The 16231-nt window shown below is 54.6% G+C and overlaps 1 protein-coding gene across 4 annotated transcripts, besides 2 other annotated features; it reads left to right on the forward strand.

Moving 5' to 3' along the window:
- ITIH1 (inter-alpha-trypsin inhibitor heavy chain 1) lies at positions 966-15435 on the forward strand. Of its 4 annotated transcripts, NM_002215.4 has the most exons (22): positions 966-1099; positions 1364-1384; positions 1707-1873; positions 2309-2413; positions 2799-2961; positions 3636-3749; positions 5307-5432; positions 5518-5634; positions 6324-6492; positions 6581-6706; positions 7663-7844; positions 8411-8596; positions 9662-9801; positions 10312-10466; positions 10555-10569; positions 10959-10979; positions 11353-11433; positions 11599-11712; positions 13020-13221; positions 14116-14288; positions 14884-14995; positions 15149-15429. In NM_002215.4, the coding sequence occupies exons 1-22, from the start codon at positions 983-985 to the stop codon at positions 15276-15278; spliced, it is 2736 nt and encodes a 911-aa protein (NP_002206.2). In that variant the 5' UTR covers positions 966-982; the 3' UTR covers positions 15279-15429. The 4 variants fall into 4 exon arrangements, with proteins under 4 accessions (NP_002206.2, NP_001159906.1, NP_001159907.1 ...); NM_001166434.3 differs by lacking the exons at positions 966-1099; positions 1364-1384 and having other exon boundaries at positions 1853-2033; NM_001166435.2 differs by lacking the exons at positions 966-1099; positions 1364-1384; positions 1707-1873; positions 2309-2413; positions 2799-2961 and adding an exon at positions 3288-3460 and having other exon boundaries at positions 15149-15435.
- Positions 1599-2798: an enhancer, noted in NCBI's record as "BRD4-independent group 4 enhancer chr3:52812248-52813447 (GRCh37/hg19 assembly coordinates)". NCBI's record gives its function as "activates an origin of replication core promoter dependent on BRD2, P300/CBP, MED14 and CDK7 cofactors, and independent of BRD4, by STARR-seq in HCT116 cells {active_cell/tissue: HCT116}" and the evidence as "EXISTENCE:reporter gene assay evidence [ECO:0000049][PMID:35650434]".
- Positions 2783-3072: an enhancer, noted in NCBI's record as "active region_19948". NCBI's record gives its function as "activates an Ori minimal core promoter by ATAC-STARR-seq in GM12878 lymphoblastoid cells {active_cell/tissue: GM12878}" and the evidence as "EXISTENCE:reporter gene assay evidence [ECO:0000049][PMID:35858748]".

Here is a 16231-nt window from a genome sequence, read left to right on the forward strand (position 1 = left end):
CTGGAACTTCTGGCCTCAAGTGATCTGCCTCCCTCAGCCTCCCAAAGTGCTGAGATTACAGGCATGAGCCACCTCGCCCGACTGAAACCCTGTTTCAACAAAAAATAAAAATAATCAGCTGGGTGTGGTGCCACATTCCTGTGGTTCCAGGTACTCAGAAGGCTGAGGTGGGAAGATCAGTTGAGTCTGGGAGGTCGAGGCTGCAGTGAGCCAAGATCGCACCACTGTATTCCACCTGTGCGATAGAGGGAGACCCTGTCTTAAAAAAAAAAAAAAAAAAGAAATTTGAAAGTAAAGCCTGGCCGGGCCCAGTGGCTCACTCCTGTAATCCCAGCACTTTGGGAGGCTGAGGCGGGCAGATCACCTGAGGTCAGGAGTTCGAGACCAGCGTGGCCAATGTGGTGAAGCCGTCTTTACTAAAAATACAAAAATTAGCTGGGCATGGTGGTGTGCACCTGTAATCCCAGCTACTCGGGAGGCTGAGGCAGGAGAATCACTTGAACCCAGGAGGTGGAGGTTGCACTGAGCCAAGATCCTGCCACTGCACTCTAGCACTCAAGACCAAAACTCCATCTCAAAAAAAAAAAAGTAAAGCCTAATGAAGTTTAGAAATCCATTTTTAACTGTTGCTTCTTGCCACATGTCACCGTGTCACTGGTGCTGCCTTGTGCCAGCCCGAGGATGAGATGAGCCATCCGGGGATCCTCACAGTTCACATAGGCTAAGCGCAGTTCTACACAGAGGGACATGGTCTGGAGCCCCATCAGTAGTTTAACCACCCAGAGCTGGGAACCCCCCTGAGGCAAAAAGCTTCCACTGCCAAATTTTGATTCCTCTAAATGTGTTAGGTTGATGCAAAAGTCATTGCGGTTTTTGTCATTAATATTTGCCTGCACCTTGTCTAATGTTTAATCCATGTTTATCCAGCACTGTATTGATTACTGGTCTGACTGAGGTGACAGGGCAGCAGGAGCCTTAGAGCATGGACGGTGCCATGGGGCCTCGGGGGCTGCTGTTGTGCATGTACCTGGTATCTCTCCTCATCCTGCAGGCCATGCCTGCCCTGGGCTCGGCTACAGGCAGGTCCAAGAGCAGCGAGGTATATGGCTAAGCCCACAGGGCAGAAATAGGCAGCTGAACCTGGATGAGGCCCCGGGCGGGACACAAGACCCCCATTCAAGGGGCCAGGGTCACCCCCACCACCTCCACCACTTCTGAGTGGAGAGGTGACCTCCCAGCACCACCAAGGAGGTGAAGCTAAGGGGCAGAGGACACAGGCTGTGTTCCACTCCCATCCCTGAACTGGCAGGCCGGTGGTCCCCTGAGTTTTCCTCTCACACTTGACCCTGATTTTGTTTTGCAGAAGCGACAGGCTGTGGACACCGTGAGTAAGAGTCCTGGCAAAGGGGTCTGTGACAGAGCCCTTTTTACAGGCTTGCTTTCCCCAACCTGTCAGGGGTGGACCCCTCTATCAGGGCCATAGGCATGGGGTACTCTCCAGGGTCCTAGAAATGGGGACTTGTTCCCATCTCACCTCATATCCCACAGCACGGTCTCAGCCAGAGAGCAGGGGTCTTCCTGCGGTCTGTTCTTCCTGCATCTGGGCACCATGCACTGGGGCTAAGTGCCAAGTCCCCGTACCACAGGAAGTCCCTCGCTGACAGAGGCCCTGTCTCAGGCCACAGCTCCTTCATGTCTCACTTTAGGCTGTCGATGGCGTGTTCATCCGGAGTTTGAAAGTCAACTGCAAAGTCACCTCTCGCTTCGCCCACTATGTTGTCACCAGCCAAGTGGTCAACACTGCCAATGAAGCCAGGGAAGTGGCCTTCGACCTGGAAATCCCCAAGACAGCATTCATCAGTGACTTTGCCGTGTGCGTGCCTGCCCAACTCCCATGCCTTCTCCCAGGGGTGCCGCTTACTAGTCCCAGCTTAAGAACAAGGATCGGAGTGGCCAGATAACGCAGAGCATCTCCTCATTCTAGAAGGGCCACAGACCAGCCCTGGCTTTGAGGGGAGGAAGAAGCCCTTTAGGTCTGTGCTTGGCTCCCATCTTGGAGGCAAACTGGGACCCATCACAGCATGTTTCAGGCTAGAACCCAAGGAGCCAAGGCCAGAGTCTGAGGCTTCTTGCTGGCCTCTGACCTGGGCTGCTCACCTCATTGCCCATGGACCCCTGAGTTCCACCATGGGCAGTGGAAGGCTCGTCAGGAGACGTCCTTATCCAAGGGCTCACATGGACAGGCCCTCTCAGGACCTGTGTGGTCAGGAGGCTCATCTTTCCTGAGGGTGTCCTTCCCTCCCTGCAGTACAGCAGATGGAAACGCATTTATCGGAGACATAAAGGACAAGGTGACTGCATGGAAGCAGTACCGGAAAGCAGCTATCTCAGGAGAGAATGCCGGCCTTGTCAGGTGAGTTCTGGGCCTGCTGGTCTCATCTCTAGGGCTGCCCTCCCCAGCCAGGACAGGTCTGATGGCTGCAAGGTGGCTTTAGTGGAGAACAGCCCAGGATGATGGAAGGGTAAGCAAACTGCCCAAACCCAGATGCCAGCACGGTGCACTGAACAGGCTGCCGTGCAGTTGCCCTTTTCCCAGATATGCCACTGGGAGAAGTGGGCCCCCGCCATCTTGGGCCCTGACCCTGACCAGCCAGCTAACACATTTGTGAGGTCCAGGGAAACCTGGGAGCAACACTCATCTAAGAGAAATAAATTCTGTGGGCCACATGTTAGGTGACAAGGACCCAAATGTCATTTACCCTCTGTCTGTCTGCTGTTGCCTCTGGTGGCACATCCAGGGCCTCGGGGAGAACTATGGAGCAATTCACCATCCACCTCACCGTCAATCCCCAGAGCAAGGTCACGTTTCAGCTGACTTATGAGGAAGTGCTGAAGAGAAACCATATGCAGTATGAAATTGTCATCAAAGTCAAGCCCAAGCAGCTGGTGCATCATTTTGAGGTAGATCACAGGTCCCGGGGCAGGGGTCCTGCCCCTCTCTCCGTCACCATGGCTCCCAACACTGGTTGAGCACCCACCATGTGTCACCACCCAGGCCTGAGAACACAGGGATGGGGACTAACCCCTCAGGGTGAGCTCTGATGTGCTCTTCTTGGGCAGGGAACTCCCTGAATTCTCTAACTTCCTCTTTATCTCTGAGCTTCGGTTTGCTCATCTGCTAGACGGGGGGTTTCTGTGAGTCCCAGGACCGCCACAGGGATCACGAGAAGTACTGAATGTCCAGGTAATTTTGTAAACTAGAAAGTCCCGCGCAGCCTGAGGGCCTGGAATTATTGCTGGCACCTAAGTGGTGGCTGAGTTGAGGGATGCAGGCATGTACACCTTCATTTGGTCAGTATTTTTGGAGTGCCTACTGAGTACCAGGCCCTGTGATCAGGGCTGGGTGGGTGCTGCACACAGTAGGTGGCCAGGACACATGCTGGCTCTTGGCTGAGACTTGGTGAGTGGGAGCCCTGGTAGAGAATTTGCTTCAGTGTGGTGTGAGCCTATAATCCCAGCTACGTGGGAGGCTGAGGCAGGAGGACGGCTTGAGCCCAGGAGTTTGAGGCCAGCCTGGGCAACAAAGCAAGATCCCATCTTTTTTTTTAAAAAAATAATTTGCTTCAATGTTGCAGATTGATGTGGACATCTTCGAGCCCCAGGGGATCAGCAAGCTGGATGCCCAGGCCTCTTTCCTGCCGAAGGAACTGGCAGCCCAAACTATCAAGAAGTCCTTCTCAGGAAAAAAGGTACATGGGATAGCAAGGGGGTGGTGGTGGGCCCTTTGGAGACTTCTCAGCCTGCCCACCCCTTATGGAATGTCCAGCCTTAGCCCAGAAACCAGGCAGGGGCTGTGGTCTGCCCTCAGGATGAGAGAAGCTGGTGTCATGTGATTGGTGCCTAGGAGAACTCAGCTATCCTGGTTCTCAGAGCAATTTAGCAAAAGCCTGCATGCTGAGGTGGGGAAGGAGCCAGCTCCAGCTCCACCACACACGGGCTGCATGGTCCAGGGTGAGTTGCTGGCTTGCTTGAGCCTCAGTGCCCTCTTTGCCCGCCTCACGCCCATGGGAGAGCATTCAGGGAAATATCCAGCACATAAGTAAACCTCATATGCTGGTGTGGTTAGGACTCCAAGCTTCAGGTTTCTTGGAAACATAAGTTTGGAAAGACCTTTGGCCTACCCAACGACTTGTCGCTTGCCACTATTTGCAGGAATCCCAGAAGCCCCTGGCTCACCCCCACCCCAGGTTCCTGGAGGAGTGTGGTGTATGGATGGGCAATGCCCTGCTTCCTGACTTGCCCCCAACCCGAGCCAGGAACAAATCCTTTAGTTCCCACTTATGTAGAGCCTGCACCACAATTCATTTAAAAGAAGTGCTTCTTACAGTTTAGAGGGGTTTCCTTTTAAACTAAATATGACACCTCAAGAGTGTTAGCAAACATGCTTGCTTTCTGTGGGGGAACAAAGGGATGGGTCCTTGTCTTCCCAAGACTTTTTCAAGGTTCTATTTTATCCTCCATCCTTTCTCTCCTCTTCCTCCTCCTCCTTCACCTCCTCCTCTTCTTTTTTTTTTTTTCTTCTTCTTCTTCTTCTTCTTCTTCTTCTTCTTCTTCTTCTTCTTCTTCTTCTTCTTCTTCTTCTTCTTCTTCTTCCTCTTCTTCTTCTTCTGCTTCTTCTTCTCCTTCTCCTTCTTCTTCTTCTATCTTCTCTTCTTCTTCCTCTTCTTTTCTGCTGCTTCTTCTTCCTTTTGCTTCTGCTTCTTTTTGATGAGCCTACCTTACTTTTATAACAAACAAAAATTTCTTTATAGAAAAATATATGAAGTCCAGGAATATAGAAAGTATTGAATAAAAACCATCACTAGCTTCCCCAAGCACATCACCAACTCCAACCAGACCTCAGCTTCCATTCTGCACCCTTCCTTCCAGTCTTTGTTCTTTGTCAACCTGGGCAGCTTTTATTTCTCACCACAGTATTGTAGTGCTGCTTTTTCACTCAACAGTTTGAGTTGTCAGATGTATCACATTGCTATTATTTTGTTATTATTTATATACCCAAAGTGATGATGTTCATTGTAGAAAATCCCAATGATTCAGAAGCATATAAGCAAGGGAATGGGTCATCTCTCCCACCACCTACAGGTGTGTGCTCTCAGCAGCTAGGTGAGTGAGTGGCCCACCGAACTCGTTTCTCTGTCCGTGCAAACACACACACACACACACGCATGCCTTCTTATGTTGTCTTTGCAAACATCTTGTTTGTGGTTACACAGACCAGTAATGGCTCACACTCTCGACGGTTCCAGGGTCATGTGCTGTTCCGTCCCACCGTGAGCCAGCAGCAGTCCTGCCCCACATGCTCTACATCCTTACTGAACGGGCACTTCAAGGTGACCTACGATGTCAGTCGAGACAAGATCTGCGACCTCCTGGTGAGCCCTGAGCTTCTGGCTCAGCACCCAGAGGATGGGCAAGGGGTGCTGTGAGAGTGGCCTCACTCGTTCTCCTCTATTTCAGGTGGCCAATAACCACTTTGCCCACTTCTTTGCCCCCCAAAACCTGACAAACATGAACAAGAACGTGGTTTTTGTGATTGACATCAGTGGCTCCATGAGAGGCCAGAAAGTGAAGCAGGTAGGCTGCAGCTTGAAACAGCTCACCCAGCAGAAGCTTCCACAGCCCCATCACTCACCACATGCCAGTTTTGCTGCCAGAGTCTGGTTTGGGATTTATCCTCCTGGTCAGAGGCAGAGTGATTTAACAGGAAATCCCAGTGGTTAGCATCTCTGGAATCAGCATCGCTTCCTCACTGTGCAGTCGTGAGGAAGTGCATTCACCTCTCCTCAATGGCAAAAAATGGGAATGACAATGGTGTCTGCAGGGTCATGGAGTTACCCCCTGGGGGAAGTGCTTAGAAGAGGAAACCTGTGCACTACAATTACGGTGGTCCGTGGGGAGGCATCTTATAGCAGGGAATAGCTCTCCGCCCACAGGGTTTGGAGTGCCCTGTCCATGGTGCAGTGTAGACATGGCTGGACAAGGAGTATTCTAGAAGCACAGCTCCTGGGGTCCTTTCTCTTAATCCTGCCCCTCCCGAACTCCTGATTATTTCTTTTCCCCATGGTGGGTTCCTTTGCCTTCTCCACCTCCCTCATCCACCCCAAGGCCCGGCAGGATGCTCCTGTCTCGGGGCCACCTGGTTGTCCTATCTCCTCCTGCTTGTCCACCCTGTGGATCTCTGAAATGGGTATTTGGAGTTGGAAGGTGCTGTCCTGGGGCCACCCTGGGGCCCTGTCTGTCTACTGACTGTTCTGTCCTTGCAGACCAAGGAGGCACTCCTTAAAATTCTGGGGGACATGCAGCCAGGGGACTACTTTGACCTGGTTCTTTTTGGGACTCGAGTACAATCGTGGAAGGGCTCGCTGGTGCAAGCATCTGAGGCCAACCTACAAGCAGCTCAAGACTTTGTGCGGGGCTTTTCCCTGGATGAGGGTAAGGGTGGGGGTCTCAGGCAACCTTGATGTCACCTCTGTCCCCTCAGAATGAGGGCATACACTGGTCTGCTTTCTCTTCCTTGCAGCCACAAACCTGAATGGAGGTTTGCTCCGGGGAATTGAGATCTTGAACCAAGTTCAGGAAAGCCTCCCAGAACTCAGCAACCATGCCTCAATACTCATCATGTTGACAGATGGCGATCCCACAGAGGGTAAGCACCTTGGGGGCTGCCTTGGGAGGTAGTGATCTCCTTGTCACCCGAGACATGCAAGCTGAAGTTGGAAACCCAACCATTGGAGATGCCATCAGGGGGCAGAAAAGCTCAGGGCAAAATCAAGCACTGGTCTAAAAACACAGCTCAGACCACAAAGTCTGAGGGAGCTCTATGGTGTACCTCTGTCCTGTGAGTTGAGAAATTGGAGATGTTTCTAAATGACACAGGTCTGTATGAGTCCCTGGAAGATGGGCAAGATTCCATGCTTCTGTTCACAGTTTAATGAACTATTTATTTATCACCTACTGTATGCTAAGCAAGGGGCTAGGGACTGAAATACCAAGGGAACAAGACATATTTCTGCCCTCAAAGAGCCCGGGACCTACTGGGGGAAGCAGATCCAGGAGTAGATACTGAGGGCCCTGAAAGAACAGGGTGCTTGAGGCTGTGGAACCATAGACAAAGGACACCTGACCCAGGGGGATGTCCGGGAAGGCCTCCTGGAGGAGGTGACTCCTGAGCTCAGTCTAGAAAGAGGGGAGAGTGGCAGGAAGGGATCCCAGGCAGAAGAGGCAGCTTAAGTCATAAAAAGGGTGTGTGCACTGGCAGGGCCTGCCCGGGAACTGTGGGCATGTGCAGAATGGGGTAAAACAAGCGTGGGAAGGTCAGCAGGGTCTCGCAGTCCATGGCAAAGGAGCCATGGCAGGATTTCGAGCAGAATCAGACCTGCTGGTGATGGACCCACCTAGATGGGCGGGGTCTGTGAGGAGCTGTTGATAGCTGCTGCAGTCTCCCAGGAGAGCCAGGAGGACGCGATGCCTCAGGATGCCCAGGAGCCTGGAGATGCTCTGAGATGGAAGGCTTGAGCCCCAGGGAGTGTTCCCCAGAGCCCCCTCGTGCCCCACATGCCTGTGGGCCAGCATCCCGTCACTACCCAGGTGTGTGGCTTGCAGGGGTGACGGACCGTTCCCAAATCCTCAAGAACGTCCGCAACGCCATCCGGGGCAGGTTCCCGCTCTACAACCTGGGTTTCGGCCACAATGTGGACTTTAACTTTCTGGAGGTCATGTCCATGGAGAACAACGGACGGGCCCAGAGAATCTACGAGGACCATGATGCCACCCAGCAGCTGCAGGTCTCCCCTCACAACCCCCTGTACCTCCAATGGCATGCCATAGGGAGCCCTGCCTTGGTGGCCGTTTGCCCATCAGCCTAGAGGAGCAGATAAAGCTCTGGCATAGAGTTCAAATCAGCTGCATGGGCCAGGCATGGTGGCTCAAGCCTGTAATCCCAGCACTTTGGGAGGCCAAGGTGGGTGGATCGGGAGTTCGAGACCAGCCTGGCCAACATGGTGAAACCCCGTCTCTACTGAAGATACAAAAATTAGCCAGGTGTGGTGGTGGATGCCTGTAATCTCAGCTACCTGGGAGGCTGAGGCAGGAGAATCACTTGAGCCCAGGAGGTGGAGGTTGCAATGAGCTGAGATTGTGCCACTGCACTCCAGCCTGGGCAACACAGTGAGACTCTGTCTCAGAAAAAAAAAAAAAAATCAGCAGCATGACCTCGAGCCAGCTACTTGACCTCTCGGACCCTCAAATTCCTTCTCTAACTTGGGAATTCCCAACACTCCACTTTGTGGGCAGGCTTCCCATTAGGAGCCCAGGGTGCTCAGCTCTAAGGCTGCAACCTCTATCCCTGCAGGGTTTCTACAGCCAGGTAGCCAAACCCCTGCTGGTGGATGTGGATTTGCAGTACCCCCAGGATGCTGTCTTGGCCCTGACCCAGAACCACCATAAACAGTACTACGAAGGCTCAGAGATTGTGGTGGCCGGGCGCATTGCTGACAACAAACAGAGCAGCTTCAAGGCTGATGTGCAGGCCCATGGGGTAAATGGTGGGCCATGGAGGGTGGAGAGGCCAGGCAGCACCCTAGAGGCTCCAAACCCACACTGTTCCCCATTCCTGCCATCCCCCAGAGGCCTCTCTTTCCCCAGAGTAGTACCCTCATCCCCACCATGCCACATACACCCCAGGCCTGAACATCCCTCCACACAGGCATCCTGGGGGCTGGATTGGCTGGAATGGGGCCAATATGGCCTTTATCAGTTGCAGTCCCTCGGCCCCCAGTGACCAATTGTTATTTTTCGCATCATTCATCCCAAGGTGCAAGAGAGCAAGAGACCAACCTCTCCCTTCTCATTTGATAACCATTTCCTGAACACCTACTGTGTGCCAGGCTTTGTGCCATGGTGCAGTGCATGCATGTATGTGCACCTGTGTGTGGTGGGGACAGGCATGTGAGACCTGGATCCTGCCCTCCAGGACACAGACAACGCCCTAAGTGTGGTCGAAGGTTCAGAACTCAGGCTTTGAGTAAGGAGAGTTGAGCTGGACCTTGGCTCCATCCTGACCAGCTGGGCATCCTTGGGCAAGGGGTCCAGTTCCCTAGGCCTCAGTTTCCTTTTCTGTACCATACTGCATCAGAGCATTGTGTGGAGTAAATGGAATAATCCATATAATACCCTTAGGCAGCAGCTGGTGCATAGGATGCCCTTGGGAAGTGGTGCCCCGGTTAATGTAGCTGGATGGAGGAGGCACATTTGTGTGCCGTGGCAAGTTGAATGGTGCAGCCCACCTAGAATTTGGTGGGCATTTGGAGTGGGTCATAGTGGAAACAGCCGGGTGCTTATTGGCCTCCCCTAGAGAAACTCCACAAGGCAGGGCCTGGTTCTCCCATTCCATGGGATCCCTAGGGTCCAGGCCAAGCCTGGCTTGCAGAGGGTGCTTGGCAAGAATCAACGAATAGGATGAGGCGAACAGGCTCAGGGAAGCAGGTGATGCTGAGGACGAAGCTGCAGATACCAGACGAAATGGGCCCCTCAGAGCCCCTAGCACCAGCCAGGGGCCGTGCTTATCATGGTGCACCACCCCTCTCTGTACCTCAACTCTCAGGAGGGACAAGAATTCAGTATAACCTGCCTAGTGGATGAGGAGGAGATGAAGAAACTGCTCCGAGAGCGTGGCCACATGCTGGAGAACCACGTCGAGCGCCTCTGGGCCTACCTCACCATCCAGGAGCTGCTGGCCAAGCGGTAGGGCACCTGCAGCTGCCCCAGGTGGGCACTGCCCACCCCAGAGTCCCCCCACCCCTTGGAGGTGAGCAGAGGAGGGGTGGTTCTGGGGCAAGTAGGTCAGATTTACTTTCCTCTTCTGCTTTGCTCACTGAGTTAATATCAACCAGTCAGTCAACAGTCCGGGCAGGCCCACCAGGGCACAAGGCAGCCTGCTATTTACCCACACTCAGCACACAGAGGCTCAGCGAGGTTAGACCTCTTGACCCAGATCTCACAGCTGTTAACGTCTCTGCGTATCTCTGAGGCATGCCCCTCAACCCCACCGAATCTCCAAGTGATCTCTGTAAGAGATCATTAAACCTGGAGGCCCCTGAGGATGTAGCCACTGCATAGGACACCATGGGGGCTTAATACTTATGTGTCGAATGAATGAATGAATGAATGAATGAATGAATAAGTGAATGGATAGGTGAAAGGATGAGGGCCGTGCAAGTCGGGGCTTGGAGCCAGCCTCTGTCTTGAATGCAGGATGAAGGTGGACAGGGAGGAGAGGGCCAACCTGTCATCCCAGGCCCTGCAGATGTCGCTGGACTATGGGTTTGTGACCCCACTGACCTCCATGAGCATCAGGGGCATGGCGGACCAGGACGGCCTGAAGCCCACCATCGACAAGCCCTCAGAGGGTATAGGCTGCAGGGGTCTACAGAAGGGAGAGGCCATGGGCCAAAAACCTCTGGGGCTCTAATTATTTTCTCTTTCTCTCCCTTCCAGATTCTCCGCCTTTGGGTGAGTTTTAAATTGCATTAGTTTCAGTTCTGGGCTTCGGTAGCTGGGCAGGTGGCAGGTGCTCCAGCCCCAGGCTCGCAGCTCCCCATCCCCATTCTTCCCTGACTCCACTCCTTCCCGTTCTTCCGTCCCCTGAGCCGCCCTTCTCCACATCACCGCGAACTCCCTGCTGCGCTTTGTGAGCTTTTGTGCAGGCTGAACCCCCAGCAGCCTCCACTGGTCCCCTCTTGGTGTGAGTGTATGTCTGTGAGGAGGCAGGACCCCAGGGGAGGGCTGAGACCCCCAGAGGGACGGCTGGGCCCAGGCCTGTTGTGGACAGAGCTGCATGCCTTTCGTGTGGGGCACCGTGGGTGACACTGTCTTCGATAATATGTCCTTGTCTTCTACAGAGATGCTGGGACCCAGAAGGAGTAAGTGGCAGCCATCCTGGCCATTCACATCTCTACCCCTCCTTGATGATCACCCCGTTGGCTTTCTTCCTCCGTTCTAGCTGTCTTCACTGCTTGTCACTGGGAATCTTTAGAACAGACCTCTGAACAGCCTGGCCTCCCCAGCCTGAGGTCCCTGGGGGAGGAGACAGAGAGGGGGCCAGCTAAACATGCCAGGCCAAGCTTCTGTCCCCGTGTCCCGGGAGCCAATCAAGGGCATGTGATGTTGAGTGGACATCCCTGCTTGGTGGCCTCAGGCCAGCCCCACCAGTGAGGAAAGAGTCATCAGAGGGATCAGCAGCTCCAGGGAAGGCCTGGCTGCCCCGCTTCTAAATGCCACTCCCCCTCCCATCAGCGTTCGTGCTGTCAGCCTTGCAGCCTTCTCCTACTCATTCCAGCTCCAATACCCAGCGGCTGCCAGACCGAGTGACCGGCGGTGAGTCCTTGGAAGGGTCTGAGGGACACCCCTGTTTGGGACCCACCCTATCTGGCTGTCTCTCTCTCTCTGTCTCTCTCTGGGACCTGCCTAGCTGAACCCCAACCCCTGGCCAGCCCCATCTGCCCGATGTCCAATCTAACGAATTCCATGCTGTGCCCCCAGTGGACACAGACCCTCACTTCATCATCCACGTGCCCCAGAAAGAGGACACCCTGTGCTTCAACATCAATGAGGAGCCTGGTGTTATCCTGAGCCTGGTACAGGACCCCAACACAGGTATGGCGGGCATCACACCTCTGCCAGACAGGGCCAGGGCTCCTCTGCCCTCAACATTCAGCCAGGAACAGGACTATGGCCAAGGCCCTCACTGCCCTCTGCCTGGGCACCATCCACCTGGCTGGGCTCTGCCCGCTGCCTTCCCACGCCATCCTCCTGGCTGCACCTACACAGGGCCAGCTTTATCAGCATGTGACTGGGGTAGGCACACAGGGGCTTTTTTTTTTTTTTCTGAGACAGAGTCTTGCTCTGTTGCCCAGGCTGGAGTACAGTGGCGTTATCTCAGCTCACTGCAACCTCTGCCTCCTGGGTTCAAGTGATTCTCCTGCCTCAGCCTCCCAAGTAGCTGGGACTACAGGCGCATGCCACCATGACTGGTTTATTTTTGTATTTTTAGTAGAGATGGGGTTTCACCATGTTGGCCTGGTTGGTCTCAAACTCCTGACCTCAGGTGATCCGTCCACCTCGGCCTCCCAAAGTGCTGGGATTACAGGTGTGAGCCACCGTGCCCAGCCAGTTTAATGCTCTTCCGTTGCCGCCTTGAAACCCTTAACACTTTCTAAACAAGGGGCCCTTCCTTTTTATTTCATACTAGGTCCTGCAAATATGTCACAGTCCTGCCCCACCTTCCCCATGAAGCATGGCTGAGCAGAGCACCTCTCTCCCAGCAGTGCCTTGGTTATGGGGAACAGCTCCCTCTCCTTCTCTCACCCCTGCTCCCTCCTGTCTCCTTCCCTCCCTGTCCAGTTAGTCCATCTGCAAGTGTTTGTTGTGCACCAACGAGGGGCTGGGAATGCAGTGGGAGCCAAGATAGTCCCGCTTTCATAGAGTTTAGGGAAGGGGAAGACAAACAGGTGAACATTCTGAGATGATCATTTCAGAGCATGAGACGTGCTGGGTTGGCAGCGTGAGGGTGGGAAGGGGGCTTTGTGGCTGCCCAGGTCAGCGGAGACCTCTGTGAAGAGGTCCCACAATGCATTTCCAGCACAATGGGAGCCTGTCCCTGTGTGAGGGGCTGGGGCCACAGAGAAGGAGCAGGCTAGGTCCTGTTCTCGGGGAGGCACGACCTCCGTTAGGACCCAGAACTGAGAGCTGAGTATGGGATATTTGGCATGGCAGGAGGGGTGGAGAGGAAGGAGAGGTGGTGCTGTGTGCGGGACCAGACCTGGAGACCCTGAGGCAGGAGACTCTCAAAGACAGAGTGGCACAGGCAGGGCGTAGAGGCCTCTTAGGAAGGAGGCATGATCCTGCTAAGCAAAGGCAGGCAGGCCCCTTCCCAACCCGGATGCCCTCTTGCTCCATTGCAGGCTTCTCAGTGAATGGACAGCTCATTGGCAACAAGGCCAGGAGCCCTGGGCAGCATGACGGCACGTACTTCGGGCGGCTGGGAATCGCAAACCCTGCCACGGACTTTCAGTTGGAAGTGACTCCTCAGAACATTACGCTGAACCCCGGCTTTGGTGGGCCTGTGTTTTCCTGGAGGGACCAAGCTGTGCTGCGGCAGGACGGGTAACCTGCCAGGGCCTGGGCAAGATGCAGGGGGAGGTGTGGCCTGGGCCCAGGACTCTGCTGAGTCTGCAGGGCCCTCGTCCCTGAGCCATGTCTGTGGGTGACACCCATGTGGCCTGTGCAGACATGTCAGACTCCATGGCCCACCCAGCCCTCCATTTCCCTTGGTTACTGGATATGTCCTCTGGGCCCAGCTGCATGGCAACTGTGCTCCCACCGCACCTTAGCTCTGAATGCCACCCCTGTCTCTACCAAACAAAGCCAGCTCATCCTCCCAGGCCCAGCAAAGAGGCCACCTCTTCCCCTCAGCCCTCCTGCTCTCTTCCTCTGCTGAACTCCAGATTTCTCTGGGCTTCTCATTTGGCATGTCTTAGTCTGCATTGTCTCATGACTTTTCCTTCCTTTACTAATTCGTTCATTCATTCATTCATTCATTCAACAAACTGTGCCAAGCACCAGAGCAATGCTGGGCAGCAGAGCTATAGGAAGAGGTGGGGAGAGTCTGCTGTGGAGGTCACAGGTGATGAGTGGGAGTCACAGAACACGGACTCTGATATTAGACAGCCTGAAGTCCAAGTCCTGGCTCCACTGCTTACCAGCTGTGCTACCTTGGGCAAGTTACTTAACCTCTCTGAGCCTGGGACTTCACAGGCTCGGAGTGAGGATTGAATGATGCAGTTTGCACAGAGGGCTTAGCACAGGACCTGGCACATTGCAAGGGCCCCAAGCAACATGTGGGGAGGGGCGTGGAACAGGTAACAGCCGGCCATCTGGGGATGAAGGCCATGGGGTGGGGGCGTGGTCATAAGGGTTGGGTCCCAGATGACAAGGGCAGCTGAATGGAGAGGGATGCAGTGCAGCCGCACCTGCCCTCTCGGCCACCTGGCTCTGCAGGGTGGTGGTGACCATCAACAAGAAGAGGAACCTGGTGGTGTCTGTGGACGACGGTGGCACCTTTGAGGTTGTTTTGCACCGAGTGTGGAAGGGGAGCTCGGTCCACCAGGACTTCCTGGGCTTCTATGTGCTGGACAGTCATCGGATGTCAGCCCGGACGCACGGGCTGCTGGGTACGGCTGGCCAGGCTGGCAGGGCTGTGGGGAAGGGTGTTGAAGCCAGAGGACATGTGGGACCTGGGGCCACCGGTCAGTTCTATAGCTGGGCACCAGGACAGGCCCACCTCCAGTGTGGCCTCCAAGGAGCAGAGCCGTCTGAGGGGCTGTGTTGGTGAGGCTGTGAGCAAACACACAGTGAAACAAACGCTTAAGCGAGCCTGGGAGCAAGTGAGGGGCAGAGGTCTGATCGCAAAAAGAAAGGCCCAGAGGGTTCCCAGGAACCTTGTGAGTAGGGTGGGTCACTGACCACACTGCTCCTGTGTGGCCTTTCTACAGACACTGCTCTCTATGGGCACCTGCCCTCAAACCTCTCTCCCCAGACAGATCCCGTTTTAAAAGACAGGAGGTAGGACCACCTAGAAATGTATCTACTTCTCTATAGCAAGTGAACCAAAGGTAGCTTTTCATGCTGGGACTGTTAGCAGAAACAGTCAAGCCCTGGAAAAAAAGCGGTCCAGCAATGCTCTAACCCCGCAGTGAGCACCTGCTGAGTGCAGGGCAGGAGCAAGTCCCCGAGATGGTAACCGCTGTCTCCAATGTGCCTTTCTAGGGCAATTTTTCCACCCCATCGGTTTTGAAGTGTCTGACATCCACCCAGGCTCTGACCCCACAAAGCCAGATGCCACGATGGTGGTGAGGAACCGCCGGCTCACGGTCACCAGGTGGGTGGGCTGCTTGCCCAGCACGTCTGCCCTCGGCCACTTTGTAGTTCTTCCAGGTCTTCCTCCAGGTGTCACATGGGTGGGGTGAGCTTCCTGGGGAGGTGCTGCCCTACTGGTCCGAAGGGTGACCCCAGCTGACTTGTCTCTGCACAGGGGTTTGCAAAAAGACTACAGCAAGGACCCGTGGCATGGGGCCGAGGTGTCCTGCTGGTTCATTCACAACAATGGGGCTGGACTCATCGATGGTGCCTACACTGATTATATCGTCCCCGACATCTTCTGAGCCCTCTGGCCAGCACGCCTGTCCTCCCCCGGGGCCAAGGCAGAGGAGGAGGACGACATCCTGACCTGCTGCTGAGGCTGTACCTCCTTGACTAAGCTGGTTCCTTGTGTCAAAGCACCTCATGCCTTCCATTAAAGAGAGGCCGTGTCCACCCTGAGCTGGCTGATTTTGGGGAGGGAGGATGGCAGGGAGGCAGCCCAAGATGCTGCCCCTCAGATGGACTAAGGGGTTACAACAGACCCAGGGAGAGGAGAAGCAGGTCAGAGGCTGGGAAGAAAGCTCACACCATTTCCCTGCTGAGGGTTTGTAACGTCTGGCAGCCAGGCTGGTATTTTCCAAAGGCAGAGATGGTCCCTGCCCAGAAGCTGTGATTTCAGGGGGCCAGGAGTGGCACCCTACCATCTCCTCATGTGAATGCCTGGAATTACCCCATCAGGGTCCCCTCCCTTGGCTTGACCTTGGGGCCCAGTCAAAACACAATGTCACAGGTGCAGGGAGGTGAGCCACACGTCAGAGAGCTCTGTGTGTGAATGCGCACAGGCCTCCACCCACTGCTTTCCAGAGGCTTTCTGCTTTTTCTTGCTAGTTTCTGTCCAGTTTCCACTATAAATGAGGCTCACAAGGGACCAGACAGAACAAGGACTGGTTTTGAGGGCCTGGATCAATAACACCAATGCTGAGCTCAAAGGCTGCCCCAGGCCCTATGAACACAGAGCCCCTAGCGGCAGGCTGTGGGGCGGCCAGCCCACCTTCCCAGGTATCCTGGGGTTCTCCAGGAAGAGCTGTGAGCTGCCAGCTGTCGGGGTCACCCTTGGCAAGGCCTGCCCAATGGGGGCCTCATCTCCCTCTCCTGTAGAATGGAAAGGCGGTGAACCCAAAGATCTCTTAGATTCCGTCTAATTATAAAGTCTGCATGACGACTCTGGTTCCTCCAAGTCCCCAGCCATCCCTTG

This window comes from Homo sapiens, chromosome 3, assembly GCF_000001405.40.
Source record: "Homo sapiens chromosome 3, GRCh38.p14 Primary Assembly".
In the NCBI taxonomy this organism is placed as follows: domain Eukaryota; kingdom Metazoa; phylum Chordata; class Mammalia; order Primates; family Hominidae; genus Homo; species Homo sapiens.

Bases quoted from the DNA above. Each gene is read 5' to 3' on its own strand.
- ITIH1 (NM_002215.4), top strand. From the start codon at position 983: ATGGACGGTGCCATGGGGCCTCGGGGGCTGCTGTTGTGCATGTACCTG. The intron at 6,707-7,662 runs GTAAGCACCTTG...TGTGGCTTGCAG, and splicing joins AGATGGCGATCCCACAGAGG to GGGTGACGGACCGTTCCCAA. The intron at 8,597-9,661 runs GTAAATGGTGGG...CTCAACTCTCAG, and splicing joins CTGATGTGCAGGCCCATGGG to GAGGGACAAGAATTCAGTAT.